Source organism: Homo sapiens, chromosome 3 (genome assembly GCF_000001405.40).
Source record: "Homo sapiens chromosome 3, GRCh38.p14 Primary Assembly".
In the NCBI taxonomy this organism is placed as follows: Eukaryota; Metazoa; Chordata; class Mammalia; order Primates; family Hominidae; genus Homo; species Homo sapiens.
The window spans coordinates 118,765,821-118,781,978 of NC_000003.12; the positions used below are offsets into that span (position 1 = coordinate 118,765,821).

The 16,158-nt window shown below is 39.4% G+C and overlaps 3 long non-coding RNA genes across 3 annotated transcripts in view; all 3 read right to left on the reverse strand.

The window, feature by feature from the left end:
* LOC105374060 (uncharacterized) overlaps nt 1–16,158 on the reverse strand; it is a 302,423-nt gene that overhangs the window by 257,410 nt on the left and 28,855 nt on the right. The window lies entirely within an intron of this gene.
* LOC124909417 (uncharacterized) lies at nt 842–2,681 on the reverse strand. The gene is made up of 2 exons (XR_007096026.1): nt 2,478–2,681; nt 842–1,150 (listed from the first exon to the last, which is right to left on the reverse strand). It is a non-coding gene; the product is annotated as an uncharacterized LOC124909417 (long non-coding RNA).
* LOC105374059 (uncharacterized) lies at nt 5,099–7,257 on the reverse strand. The gene is made up of 3 exons (XR_924380.3): nt 7,120–7,257; nt 6,423–6,502; nt 5,099–5,933 (listed from the first exon to the last, which is right to left on the reverse strand). It is a non-coding gene; the product is annotated as an uncharacterized LOC105374059 (long non-coding RNA).

Here is a 16,158-nt window from a genome sequence, read left to right on the forward strand (position 1 = left end):
ACAAGAGGATGCACAGCAGGAGAGAAAATGAGTAGCCATTCTTAGCTTCAGTGTCCACTAGGAAGAGGGATTAGTAATTCACACTAAAACCCATTCAGTATCTACACTGATAAGTATTTTTAATCTGCGGTTAACTAAAGTTAATCATAAGCAATAAACTATAAGTATTTAGAACAATGCCTTGCGTATAATAGCAACTTAATATTTATTGAACACATAAACTATAAGGAGTTTTGAAAGTATTTTGCTCTCATTTTATCCTTCCATTTACTTTATGGTGTCCTGAGTCCATATTGCTAAGAAAAGAGACCCAACCTGCATTCCTAGTCTCTATTCTGCTGTACCCATAAGGTAGCTCCAATGAGCACCTCTTACACTTAGGAGAAGAAAAAGATAGCTGTTATGATCCTAGTCTCTACCCCTAATCTGGGGTAAAGCTGAAATAATAACCCAGGGAGTCATGAAATAAATAAGTAAAGGAGGATAGAGAGTTATAGCAAAGGAGGAAATAAAGGATTGAATGTAAACACTTTTTAAATCAATCCCTCACCCATTGCTACATTAGCATGTAGCTGAGTGATTTTCTTCCCTGTAATTTAACCCTTCAACTGTGTTGGGTCATCCTATTGTAAAACTGTTCTTTATGACTCAAAATGGCTCTGCCCCCAGACTGAAACTGACTAAAGTACCTTTGTTTTTGCAGATTCAAAACAAAACATCAGGGGGGACACAAGATTCACATAGATAAGTGGCCAGTTTTCTTCATTTCTGTTCAAAATTACATGGGGGAACAATGGTAGAAAGTAGAAAATATATAATGAATAAATAATAGATTCATTTATTTAATCAACAAATATTTATTGAGCACTGATACATGTGTGCCTGGCACTGGCTAGTTACTAATACAGGGATGAACAGGCCACACATTGTCCTGTCCTCATAGAGCTTACGGTCTAGCAGGGGAGACAGATATTAAACCAAGAATCCTATAAGTGTGTAACAATTTTCATGAAGGAAACGTACAGTGTGAAACAAATACAAGAATAAAAGTGTAAAATATGATAGATAAAGCAAACCCATCTCACACAAGGAAATCAACGCATTTGAAGCCAAACAAAAGAAAATGTAGTTTCTCAGTTTAACATCACACCTGTAAAAATAATTCAAAAACATTATTAGGAAGCTTTTGAATGTGTTCATTCTAAATTATAAACACAAAAGAAAAGCCACTGAATGAAAAACATATTAATAACGTAACTACCTATAATAGGAAATTGGAAAAAGTCTGATTATAACTAGCAACATCACATTTTGCAACTGCCTCTAGAAAGTCTTGGTGTATGATCTCTCAGGCCACTTATCACTATTGATCTTGGGCCATTTACAAAATATCTTGGATTCTTGCCGCAGTGATATATGGATAATGAACAACATTCCATACTTTCTCTGACCTCAACGTGGAATTCCTGCTCTTTGGCTGAAATTTATTCACTTTACTACTATAAGTTCTACAAACATACAGTATTTTCAAATATTATAAAAGACTACATGTTTACTAAAACTGAGGAAGGGATTGAAGAGACATCAGAAGAAGCTCTAAGAAAAGTATTGCTATAAACCTAACATGAGAAAACGCAGGCAATTCATCATGATTTTTAAAAGCACAGGTGTTTGATAGTCAGGAAAGGACTAGGGTCCCCACTGTTGAGCAGGCTGCCACTGCAGTGAAGAACCAGGTAGCAAACAGAGTAGTATGGAAAAAACAATATGTTACAGCTTGGGCTGTATCTCCTTAGTTGCTCCTGTGTCACCCATATTCAATCATTCTACCAACATTGAAAGCCGGATGTCACCAAGACATCATGCTTGTGTTGGAGAAGGGAAGAATGCAACACTTCCCCTGCTCTCAAAAATGCATATAATTTCATCAGGACAGTCTCAGAACGACTAATTAGAAAATATGACAGAATTTAAAAAAGCACTAGCCTGAGGTACAAGGAATGTCTATGGAGGCCCCACAGAGGTACAGCTCATTCTACATGGGAGGAACCAAGAAGGATTTAAGAAGGATGTAGGACTGGAGCACAAAAGGGTGAGAATAAAGGAAAAGGCATTGTAGGTTGACGGGTGAATATAACTGAAGGCCTAGAATGTGAAAGAGAAAGACACATATTCATTATTTATAGGACTAGAACATAGGACAATGGGGGATTTGGTGGAAAACAAAATTAGAAAAGCCATTTAGGGGAGCCCAGTCCCTGAAGAGTCTAGAGCTTCTTCTGTAGGAAGTGAGAAGGTAATGGAAGGTTTAGGGGTAGGGAATAATATTGGCTAGGTGTGTAGTAGGCTATAAAATCTAGGTTTGTATAAGTACACCCTATGGTTTTTACATAATGATGAAATCACCTGATGACACATTTCCCAGAATGCAGCCCCTTCATTAAGTGACACATGACTGTATTTGCAGAAATGCATACCGATTGAGCATCTCTGATCTTAAAATTTGAAATCCAGTACGCTGCAATGAGCATTTCCTCTGAGCATCACGTTGTCACTCAAAATGTTTGGGATTGTTGAGCATTATGGTTTGAAGATCTTCTGATTAGGGATGCTCAACTTGTAACTTTCAAGTTAACATACAACAGAGAGGGTTCAGAAACAGATAGATACTGCAAGTGACTCTGAAAAACAATGTTAAAACAGTCTGTCTATTCAAACTATATATATATACACACACACACACACACACACACACACACACACACACATAATTCCATAGGGAAGAAATGTATAAATTTTACATTAAAAACAATTTTGTCAGCTATAGTTAGAAACTTAAGGAATGTTAGAGGATTATTGAAGAGAAAGAAGGGGAAGACCTTTGATATAGTTGCTTAATCTAAATCAAGTAAACTTTTGTTTTAATTAAGGTACATTCTCATGGTCTAACTATGAGAGAGTTAGAGGGTCAAGTCATTAAGAAATTGCCCTTTGAAATGAATGACTGTTAAGAGAGCATCTTATCACTTTGCTTTGATAAAGAAAAACTTCTAGAGCCTCTGGAAGGAAATACTTATTTTCCTAACACCAAAAGTATTCCTGAACTATAGGAAGGACAGCTCAGAAAGGCTTCACACTGGAAGTGAGACCAGTGATGCCACAAGCCAACATCATGTTCTGATTAATACTGAACACCGCAGAAGTATGCTGATGTATGTCTACATTCCACAGTTTCTTTAAAACTTGCTTCAAACCATAATTTTCATGTAGTAAAGAAGTAGGCAATCCATACTTGTCCACATCTAGACAGCTTTAATACAGCATTACATTTTGGTTTATAGAACAATGTCAAATACAAATGAACTATAAACATTAATCATTCTCAGCTATTTGGGCTGGGAACTCTTGGTCCCAGGTTAGTGTTCCAAGGCCTTTCCATGATACGGTGGCAGCTGCTGAAAGGCCAGGTACAATATATACGTCCATATAAAAATGACTACCTTTTAGAACAGTATTCTCAGTCTATCTGTGGTGATGGGCCAGTCTTTTTAATTGTTTGCTCTGTTTGATTGTTTAATGTTCAGCCCACTGCAGGCTAGAATGTAGTGCCACTGCACATGAGCAGTATGTAGCTTGCCCTCTATGCACCTCACCATGGGCAGAACACAATACCTGAAATTTCCCATACCCTATTCAGTGAGATAAGGTCATTGATCATCTACTAGGATTTCATGGCTAGGTTAAATGGCTATAAAATGTCTAAACACTCTCAATTTCTCTACTCACCTTATCAGACTAGAAACAGTTTTCTTACTGGTACTGGTCTACCGACGTCACTTTGGGAAGCGCTGTATAGAAGATGGGCCTTGACAATCTGAATCACTTTCAGCGGTAATGAATAGGCTATGAGGTGAGACTAAGGAGGAAGAGACCAATGAGTAGACATGAAGCAAATGTTCTCTATGAGACAGCAAATGATGGCTGCATCAATACTTTCTGTCAGCACAGCCAAGCAGAGTGCCAGCTCTGTGGGAGGAGGGTTCCTCTCCTAGGCCTCCCTTAGGCTAACATTAGCTCCAGCCTGCAACAAACACACTCCAAGTATCTGCAAACATAGGGCCCCAAGACCAAATCTGTGAGGTACTCAAATGTGTGAATGAATTTACACTCACTGCCCTTTTCTCCAAGCTGGCCTCTCCTGCCCCCAGGAGGGACTCATAAAGCACTTAGCTATAGTGATGGGTTTGAAAGCACCTCAAAGAAACTTCCATTTTCCCCATGAGTTCTCTGAAGGCTTCAGGAGAGAACTGCAATTTCACTTAATCCTTAGATAGTTTGTCCTACATTTTATAATTTCTGAAAATGGTATGCACGTTATAACTAATGTATACACTTAGTATGGTAGTGTTACCTTTTTTTGCCCTCAACTATGTTTAAATTGATATTTTCTAGCTGATGCCATTTTAGAAATGGAGGAAATTAAGTATGTAATGTCATTGTGAATCAAAAGCATATGGTATTTTATTTCCCTTAGGCAGCTTTGCTTTAGGGAAGTGTATATCAGGAAAATGGATGAGAGCATTGGTCAGCCCATTTGACAGATTTAAATAATATATAAATAATATATAAGCAATAAATATAAAGGTAGATTATATATATGGCTACATGTGTATTTTTTATTGCAACATATTTGAGAAAAAGTGTATATATTCAGTTATTACATGATAATCTGATGTACATATATACTATATAATGATTACTGCAGTAAAACTAACACATCCATCACCATGCATAGTTACATATGTGTGTGTGTGTGTGTGTGTGTGTGTTAAGGACACAAAAATCTACTCTCTTATCAAATTTCAAGTAAACGATACAGTATTATACAGTATTATTTACTACAGTCACCAGGCTGCACATGAGATCTCCATAATTTATAATGAAAAGTTTCTGCCCTTTGAGCAACGTTTCCCATATTTATTGAGATCCTGTTATATGCCAAGTACATGAGGGCTTCTCCTGTATTAACTCATTTAAAACTTATAATAACCCACTGTGGTTGGCACTCATTTTAAATACGCAAAAAATGAGGCACAGACAGGTTAAGAAATTGTATTAGGTTTCTCTAGAGGGACAGAACAAATAGGATAGATGTATATATGATGAAGGGGCATTTATTAGGAGAATTGACATCACCTTGTGAAGTCCTACAATAGGCCGTCTGCAAGCTGAGGAACCAGGAAGCCAGTCTGAGTCCCAAAATCTCAAAAGTAGGGAATCCGAAAGTGCAGCCTTCAGTCTGTTGCCGAAGGCCAGAGAGCTTGTAAGTCCAAGAGTCCCAAAGCTGAAGAACTTGGAGTCCGATGTTTGAGGGCAGCAAGCATCCAGCACGGGGAAAAGATGAGGACCAGAAGATTCAGGAAGTCAAGTCCTTCCACGTCCTTCTGCCTGCTTTATTCTAGCCACGCTAGCAGTTGGTTAGATGGTGCCCACCCAGATTGAGGGTGGGTCTGCCTCTCCCAGTCCATTGATCTCCTTTGGCAACACCCTTACAGACACACCCAGGAACAATACTTTACATCCTTCAGTCCAATCAAGTTGACACTCAGTATTAACCATCTCAGAAATGTTTCCCAAGATCACACAGCTAGGAAGTGTTGTAGCTAGCCAGGGTTCAAATCAATGTTGATTACTGATACCCTAATCATCACTTAATCAACTTGTTGATAAAACAGCATCAAGTTCATTGCCTACTGAAATAAGAAAGAATACTCCCTTGACAGAGTCTTATTTTCTAGGAGGGATATTTATGAGGTTTGAGGATCTGGTTTAAGGCAGGTATCCAAGGAAGGAAACTAACTCAGATTGGGCCAAGTTCCTGATAAAGCAGTTTAGGATTAATGGCCATAGCAAGGAAAGGGTTCCAAGTGAATCTGGAAGAGTAAACAGTGGCATGGTAAGTCTGAAGTGACCTCTTGTCCCAAAAGTGAGTTATTTATTCTAACAAGGGATAGTTGGATCATCTTTCATTCAGATAAATGGGTTCCAGGAAGTCTTATAGCCAAATAATAATTCGCAACATCGTATTCCTGGGCAAGAATTTCTTGAAATAAGTCATATTAATGCAGACAGTGATCTGCATGGCTCCAGATGGTTTGGGTTCCCACCAGGTGGTTGCTACCCATGCTCAACATTCATACAAGCTCAGCCACGCTTACTGACTGGCTGTAAGAATTTGATGAAATAATCTATGTCAACATGTTTCATAAGCTGGGAAGCACTATGTGCATATCAGCTGATAGAATTGTTAATAGTAGCAGTACCTGCAGTTCCTGACTTTAAGTCCCACTAGTTGGGCCAGAGCTTAATAACATGATTGAGTAAAGCAATTGAACCTAGCAGTTCTCTGAGGTAAGGCTCACCTTGAGTTAATCAGAATGGAAACTTGGCCGAGGAATGGAAGAACAACTTGGCACCAGGAAAATCCACATTCTCTGTATTCCTGAGAAAGCGAACACCCAGCTGTGAATTTATTGACTCTCCCTTAAGAAGTTCTAATGGAATAAATTTTTCCTTCTTGGTGCCTGCTAATTAGACAATTATTTAACTCTGTTTCTTTTTTTAATGACTCTCTGCTGTTGTTTGAAGACTTCTGTCTATTATTTGTAATAAAAACCTCTGTCACATTTTTGCCTCATTATCCTTAACAAATAGTGCATTCCCCAGCCCCAATCCCTGGCTCCCTTAGTTCTCCCTCCCCCAGCACCTCCCCAATCTAGAGCTCCCAGAGTTTCAAAGAGCAGCTGTTATCATGTTGTTGACTGAGAGATTTTTAGAAACTTCTATCACAGGCACAAGGCTCCATGGGGGGCTGTTGAATTAAATATCAGCTCTTCAAACAGGAATTAGCTCAGAGAACAAAAGCAGCAGGAAGACAAGGGACAAACACAGGCAAATGCTGCAGTCCTCCCACTCAGTGATTGAGAAACTAGTTCTCTTTTTCTTCCCTAGAACTCTAATACAGGAGTTCCTAGGCCCCTGACCACACTTGGCCATGATGAGTCATATATCTCTTCTCAGGGCTGGAGAAAAAGCCCAGCCCAGCCCTGGGTTACTTACTCTTCAATCAGAAAATGAGTGTGTTCAAAGGAAATTGTCCTTTTCACTATCCCCAATGGTGAGGCAGCCTCATTTCAGTACTGTGGAGGATTTTCTATGGAGCAACTATTTCTTCAGAGGGGAGAAGTGGGAAAACAAGAAAACAAAGGAATCAACATTTGCTAAGTCCTACTACATGATGGGATCTGCCTGCAAGGTACGTACCGTTTCTCTACTCTCAGTTCATAGCAATCCTGGAGAGACTAGATCCTTGCTACTCAAATATGGCATGGGTTGGCTTCATGGGTGTGCAACTTCTTTTTTTTTTTTTTTTTTTTTTTGAGATGAAGTCTCGCTCTTGTCCCCCAGCCAGGCTGGAGTGCAATGGCACGATCTCGGCTCACTGCAACATCTGCCTCCCAGGTTCAAGCAATTCTCCTGCCTCAGCCTCCCAAGTAGCTAGGACTACAGGCACCTGCCACCACACCCAGCTAATTTTTGTATTTTTAGTAGAGAGGGGGTTTCACCATGTTGGCCAGGCTGGTCTCGAACTCCTGACCTCAGGTGATCTGCCTGCCTCGGCCTCCCAAAGTCCTGGGATTACAGGCATGAGCCACTGCGCCTGGCCTGGGTGTACAACTTCTACAGTCACATGGGGTCATTCGCTTAGGATGGCCACACTTTGTTTAATGTTCTGTTGTCTTGAATTTTTTAACAATTTTATCTTTCAACTTGCGTTTTGTAAGTAAAAATGCACTGAAACACACACACACACAAAGGCGATGCAGGCAACATATATATTTACCATTCCTTGACACCCCATTCACAAATAGCATTTGCAATGTCCATAATCACAGAATTCCATTGGACTCATGATATGTGGGAGTTCAGTAAGACTCAAAGCAAGTACAAGGTAAGCATGTTAAGTCCATGACTTAGTAAGCGAGAGTGGTGGCAGCTCCAAGAAACCATACCTTCCTTTTGCAACGGCACATGCTTTGAATACAGAAAGAAGAAAATGGCATTCTAAGAAGCACAAGCTACCAAGGAATCCTTTCATCCCTGTGTTAGTCAGACACATGCTGAAAATGACACAGGAGGAAAAGATAAGAGAAACTCACAGCTCCTTTTCTTTGAATTCTTCCCTACTCATAAATAACCTGAAGGTAGAAAATATTATAGACTATGTATGTGTGTATCAAGAAGTGAAATAATTTCTTTTTCATGATGGCTGACTAGGAACATCAGATGTCAGTTCTCCTCAAAGAAGTTCAATGTTCCAGGTGAATGGTCATCATCTGAATGGAAAACTAAAGGAAGAGAGCCAGGCTCTGTCAGAGTGCCCACGGGAAGAAGCTGGGATGCAGAAAAGCAAAGCAGCAGGCATCTGGCAAAGATGGACCCCTGAGGAACTCGAAGCCACATGGAAAGGGTAGGTGGGGGTGCTTCTGTGCTCCCCTCACCCCTGGAACAATCTCCTGACTGCTAAATTGTCAAGGAGTACCTCTGCCCTCACAACCCAGTGCAATGCTGTTAGTAGTGATTTGAGGACTTCCCGGGGACAGAGAACCAGGGGCCAGCTCACGCAGGGGCACCTGTACTCCCCTCAGGCCTGAACTGAGATGGCAAGCACCAGAGTGGTTGTGTAATTATTGTGGGCCACTGCTCTCTGCCTGGGGAACCTTACACCTTGAGTTACTACATCACCAGATACCCCCACCAACATACCCTAGAAACTTCTCTGACTTTGGCAACCGCAGAGGACCAGCATCCAAATTGGGAAAGAGCGAGTCAAATTATCTCTGTTTGTTGATGACATGATTGTACACCTAGAAAACCCCAAAGACTACCACAGAAGACTCCTAACTTGAAAAGCATCTTCAATAAAGAATAAGGATACAAAATCATTGTATAAAAATTAGTTCCATTTCTATATGCTAACAATGCTCATGCTGAGAACCAAATTAAGAACTCAATCCCATTTACAATAGCCATGGAAAAATATCCTATGCTCATGGATAGGAAGAATCAATATTGTGAAAATGACCATGCTGTTCAAAGCAATCTATAGATTCAATGCAATTCTCAGCACATTACCAGTTTTATTTTTCACAGAATTGGAAAAAACAATTCTAAAATTCATATGGAACCAAAAAAGAGCCTGAATGGCAAAAGCAATCCTAAGCAAAAATAACAAAGCTGGAGACATCACATTACCTGACTGCAAACTATTCTGCAAATCTATAGTAACCAAACAGCATGGTACTAATACAAAAATAGACACATGTGTCATATAAAAATAGACAAAAATATACACATGTATCAGTGGAACAGAATAGAGAAACCTGCAGCAAAGCCACATACCTATAACCAACTGATCTTCAACAAAGCTGACAAAAATAAACAATAAAGAGAGGACACCCTATTCAATAAATGGTGCTGGGAAAACTAGCTAGCCATATGCAGAGGAAGGAAACTGGATCCCTATCTCTCATCATATAGAAAAATTAACCAAGATGGATTCAAGACTTAAATATAAGACCTGAAACTATAAGAATGTTATAAGAAAACCTAGGAAAACCTTCTGGACATTGGCCTAGGTAAAGAATTTATGACTAACACCTCAAGAGCAAATGCAACAAAACTAGATAAATGGGACTTAATTAAACTAAAGAGTTTCTGCACAGTAAAGAAACAATCAACAGAGTAAACAGACAACCTACAAAGTGGGAGATATATTTGCAAACTATGCATCTGACAAAAGACTAATACCCAGAATCGATAAGAAACTAACACAAATCAACAAGTAAAAAACAATCCCATTAAAAAGTGGGCAAAAGACATGAACAGACACTTCAAAAGAAGACACATATGCGGCCAACAAATATATGAGAAAAATGCTAAACATCACTAATCATCAGAGAAATGCAAATTAAAACCACAGTGAGATATTATCTCAAACCAGTCAGAATGGTTATTATTAAAAAGTAAAAAATATAAGAGATGTTGGCAAGGATGAAGAGAAAAGGGAATGCTTATACATTGTTGGTGGGAATGTAAATTAGTACAACTCTAGGGAAAATAATAGGGATGATATAGCTTGGCTGAGTCCCCCACCCAAATCTCATCTTGAATTGTCGCTCCCATAATTCCCATGTGTTGTGGGAGGAACCCGGTGGGAGATAATTGAATCATGGTGGCGGTTTCCCCCACACTGTTCTCATGGTAATGAATAAGCCTCAGGAGATCTGATGATTTTATAAAGGTTTTCCCCTTTCGCTTGATTCTCATTCTCTCTTTCCTGCCGCCACATAAGACATCCCTTGCTTTTCCACCATGATTGTGAAGCCTCCCCAGCCATGTGGAACTGTGAGTCAATTAAACCTCTTCCCTTTATAAATTACCCAGCCTCAGGTATGTCTTTATTAGCAGCTACGAACAGACTAATACAATGGAGATTTCTCAAAGAACAAAAATAGAACTACCATTGGACACAGCAATCCCACTACTTGGCATCTACCCAAAGGAAAAGAAATCATTATATAAGAAAGACACCTGCTTTTGTTTATCACAGCACTATTCACAACAGTAAAGTTAGAGAATCAACCTACTGTCCATCAATGGTTGACTAAAGAAAATATTATATATGCATATATATATATATATATATACACACATACACACACACACACACACACACACACACTGTGCATTATGCAACCATAAAAAAGAATGAAATCATGTCCTTTTTAGCAACATAGATGGAACTGGAAGTCATTATCCTAAGGGAACTAAATCAGAAACAGAAAATCTAATATTATATGTTCTTACTTATAAGTGGGAGCTAAATAATGGGTACACATGGACATAAAGATGGAAATAATAGTCACTGGGGGCAGGGATATGGACTGAAAAACTACCTGTTGGGTACTACATTCAGTATTTGGGTGATGGGTTCACAGAAGCTTAAACCTGAACATTACACAATATACCCAGATAACAAACCTGTACATGTAACTCCTGAATCTAAAATAAAGTTCTTTGAGAAATCACCAAACTGCTTTTCACAACAGCTGAACTAACTTACATCCCCACCAACAGTGTATATGCATTCCCTTTTCTCCAAAGCCTCACCAGTAACTGTTATTTTTTGACTTTTTAGTAATAGCCATTCTGATTGGTGTAAGATGGTACCTTACTGTGGTTTTGATTTGCATTTCTCTAATGATTAATGATGCTGAGCATTTTTTCATATGCTTGTTGGCTGCATGTATTTCTTCTTTTGAAAAGTGTCTGTTCATGTTCTTTGCCCACTTTTTAATGGTGTTGTTTGTTGTTGTTTGTTTTTTGCTTGTAAATTTGCTTAAGTTCCTAAAACAGAATTACCATTCAACCCAGCAATCCCACTATTGGGTATTTACCCAAGGAAGTATAAATCATTCTGCCATAAAGACATATGCATGCATATGTTCATTGCAGCACTATTCACAATATCAAAGACAAGGAATTAACCCAAACACCCATCAATGGTAGACTGGATAAAGAAAATGTGACAAACACCATGGAAAACTATGCATCCATAAAAGGAATGAGATCATGTTCTTTGCAGCAACGTGGATGGAGCTGGAGACCATTATCCTAAGCAAACTAACACAGGAACAGAAAACCAAATACCACATGTTCTCACTTAGAAGTGGGAGCTAAACATTGAGTATACATGAACACAAAGAAAGGAACAACAGACACCACGGCATTCATTCTTGAGGGTAGAAAGTGGGAGGAGGAAGAGGTTCAAAAAACTACCTATTAGATACTATGCTGATTACCTTGTTGATGAAATAATCTATATGCCAAATCCCCATGACATGCAATTTACCTATATATCAAACCTGTGCATGTACCTCGAACCTAAAACAAAAGTTTAAAGAAGTTTAAAAAAAAATTGAAAAATAAAATACTTTTTAAAAAAGTGAAATGAAAACAGCTGTTTTGTGTAGTGCGACCACTATTTTGGTAAGAAAGAATTATATATGGATGCACCAGCTACAAAATACGAATTATATAATTATATATGAATTGTATAATTTCAGTGAATCCATATATGAGTTAAATGCTCTTATATTTGCATTTAAAAATGATATTGAACAACATAAAGATAAATTATAAACCATACTAATAATTTAAAATTCCAGCATTTCTTTACAACATTAAATAACAAAACACAGCATAACAAGCTGAGTGAGACTGGAAGAAAGAAAAAAGCTTTATATTTTAGTACCTTTAACAATATTTTCTTCTCGCTTTTTGAACCAGGGGCCCCTCGTTTTGCACTGGGCCTGGCAGTCCCCACCCTGTCTGTACCATCAATATGAACTGGGAGCTCCTTAGAAATGCAAAACCCCAGCCCCTCCTCAGATGTATTAAATCAAAACCCGCATTTTAACAAGTTCCTGAGATGATTCATGTGCACATGAAAGTTTGAGAAGCACAGGGTTAGAATAATCTGCTCAATGATTCACAATTATCCAATGGAGGAGTTGGGATCCAAACTCCAGCAGTCTGACTTCAGGGTAGAGGTGAGTGACCACTACACTTAACTGTGGGACCGTGAAGTCAATGCCATATTATCCCTCATTTACAGATGTAAAAACAGCTTAGAGAGGTTAATGGACTTGCCCAAGGTTGTAAGTTGCCAGCTAATGAACAACCAAACAGGAATTAAAAGCAAATCTGCCTGGTTCCCAATCTCAGCTGTTTGCATTGGTACGGATAGTTTCCAAATAAGAGTGAACATCAGAAATAATTAGAGAATGTTTTAAATGCAGATTGCGGCCCCACTCCAGACACAGCAAGTCAAAATCTCTAGGTTGAGGCTTGAAAATATACTTAACAACAGTGGTTCTCAAACTTGAATGCACAGTAACACTACCTCTGGGATTTTTTTCTTTTCTTTTTTTTTTTTTTTTTTTTTTTTTTTTTTGAGAAGGAGTCTCAGTCGCCCAGGCTGGAGCACAGTGGCGTGATCTCGGCTCACTGCAAGCTCCGCCTCCCAGGTTCACGCCATTCTCCTGCCTTAGCCTCCTGAGTAGCTGGGACTAGAGGGGCCGCCACTACGCCCGGCTAATTTTTTTTTTTTTTTTTTTGTATTTTTAGTAGAGACGGGGCTTCACCGTGTTAGCCAGGATGGTCTTGATCTCCTGACCTCATGATCCACCCGCCTCTGCCTCCCAAAGTGCTGGGATTACAGGCGTGAGCCACCGCGCCCAGCCACCTCTGGGATTTTTTTAAAATCCTGATGCCAAGGCCAGATCTCAGAGCAATTAAATTGAAACGTCTGGGGGTCAGACTCAGACACCAGAACTTGAAAGCCGTTGAGAATGCCTGTTTTAAGAAACTTCCAGCTGATGCTGATGCTCAGCCAGGCATGGAGACTCTGCTTTACAGGGAAATATGCACCTGTCCACAGGGCTGCCCACTGGACTCCTGTGCATATAGGTTAGGAAGAAGTGACTAGTAAGCAAATAAAAAATACAGAATTTCAGAAAACTACTTTCATTTCTAAAGCCAACCTTATCAACCGGCTTTAAATGTGAAAAAATGCAATTAGTACTCAAGATCACTGATGTATCAAAGAATCATTAGCAGCCAAAAAGCAAGAACTCTGTACTAAATATTTGTATCTGTTTCTAAATCAACATTTTTATCTCCAGGAATATCGACATTCACTAGTCATTATTCTGGAACTCTTGTCAAGTGTCCATGTTAAGAGAGACAGGAACTATCTGCAACAGTCAGGGAAACCGGAAGCGAGAAACCCAAGACCCACCAAGGCAGAATGGAGAAAGAGTGCAGCTAGGGGTCTCTTACAAGCTGTTGGCAGAGAATCTCAGGAGCTCAGGGTTAAAAGGTCCCCAGAAGTCAGGAATTAAAGCCCTCTTTCAAAACCTGACTTCTGCCTACAACATCTGGCCCGACTCGAACCACCACCTATATATAAATCACCCAGGTTGTTTAAGCTGCAGTAACTTCTAATCCCAGCCCAAACCTCCCACATTGCCATCATCTGGGAATGGTGCTTTAAAAAATAGGTTCCCCAAGTGATCTGCATGCACATTAAAGTTTGAAAACAGCTATTATGATAGTTCTATTAGGTACTTCTAGCCCAGTGCTAGGCAGGGGCAAATTCACCAAGCTAGCATCACTCTTGGGATGTTCTGGTGGCTAGCCATCTGGCATTTTCCCCTTGAACAACACATATCTTCATAACTCTGTCTTTCCTATCTACTCTGGAGTTAATTGGAGGTTGTTCTACTCATATCTTAGTATGTAGACTATTAGCCATGTAATGGACATTAGACATCGTATAATCAAATGTGTCCAATATGCAGGTCACTTTCACGTAAGCGAACACAAGTTACCTTTTCTCCCTCCTAAATATGTCCAATTGGCCTATTTGGCAAGGTTTCACTGACAGACAAAAGGTACTTGGTATTGACCAACACCCCAAACTACAGAGTAGACAGTGCCATATCTCCCTTCAAGGGCTATCCAGAGTGAATCTTCTCTTTTCCACAGGACAGTCTTTAATTACTTACAAATACATATCACATCCCTCTCAAATCTTTTGTTCATCAAGCTGAATAATCCCATGTCCTCTAGCTTTTTCTTTTTACTAAATTGCCTTAAAATTATGTTTGTATGTGTGTGGTCTTACATAATATATATTATTGTTTTGGTGCATGTATTTTTAGTTCATGTAAATGGAAGTGTGTAATATCACAGATGTTTTATCAAATGTGGTCTTTAGGAGCTACACATGTTGCTATGCACACCTCTTACTTTTTTCTTTTGCACTGTGGTTTCTCTATACCTTCCCCTACCACTCCTCCTGCACACCCCTAAATCTTCCTCAATTTATTGTTTTACATGTACTCCTCTTTATCCATGTCCCTTTTAAACTGAGGTATTCAATCTGAACATTGCCCCAGCCACTAAAAAAACACAGAATACTGGAGATATATTTTATGGATGTGTCATTCCACATACTCACAACAGTTTCCCTTAAGTACACTCTTTAGTTGAAATACTATTATAGTAAGACTACCTCACTTAAATCATTTACCACTGAAGGACATTCCACTCCTTCTTAGGCTGAATAAATCTATGGCATGGAGAATATTGTTTCCTAAACAGACTAACACTGCATTCTATTTCCTTGTATTCTTTTTGCTTACAGAAATGCTTGGTGTGTTGTTAAAGGCAGTCTCATCAAAAGAGACAGAATATTCAAAATAAACCTTGGAGATCACCCAGCATGAAGTTGCCTGAGGAGGTGGTAGTAAACCCTAAACATTTTATGAAGGAGGAGACTGAGGTCCAGAGGGGTTCAATGACTTGCTCAGAGACACAAGCCAATTACTACAGCCTGTAAGCTGAGTCAGAAGCCCCAGGTGTCCTGACTCCCAAGCCAGCTTTCGCTAGCATCCACGAGCCATACACCCTGCGGCACAGTGGAAGGCTGTGAATTGGCTCTTACAGCTGCCCACCCCTCACCCACCCTCTGATTCTCTGAAAGCAGAGTACACAGACCCAGTCTGTTTTGGAGTTTCAGAGCTGCAGCCTGCATATTTAACACTGGTTTTATCTATCAGAAATGGAGAATAAATAGCACTATAATAAAACCCATAAAATATACCAACTTGGATTTTTTTCAGGATGGCTCCAAGCACAAGTTGGTAATCAAAAGGTTTTGAGAAAAACTGGAAATAGTGTTTGCTGTGTTGAAAATTTCCGGAATCTTAAGAGCATCCCTGTTCTCCATCACCCACCAGCTGAATACTTTAGGAGGAGAGATGTGTTACTCTAAGTCACAAGGAAGGAGGACATTTTCAAAAGGCCTCATAAAGAATGCTTCCTCCTCACATCTTTATGAGCCATTCCCACTTTAGAGAATAAAACTGTTTAGGCTTCATGTTTTTCCATATTCCCAGAGCAGCAGCCGTCAAGGTGGTAGAAGAAATGGTGGTTGCACTTTCCAGCAAGTATGGAAGCTGTCAGGAA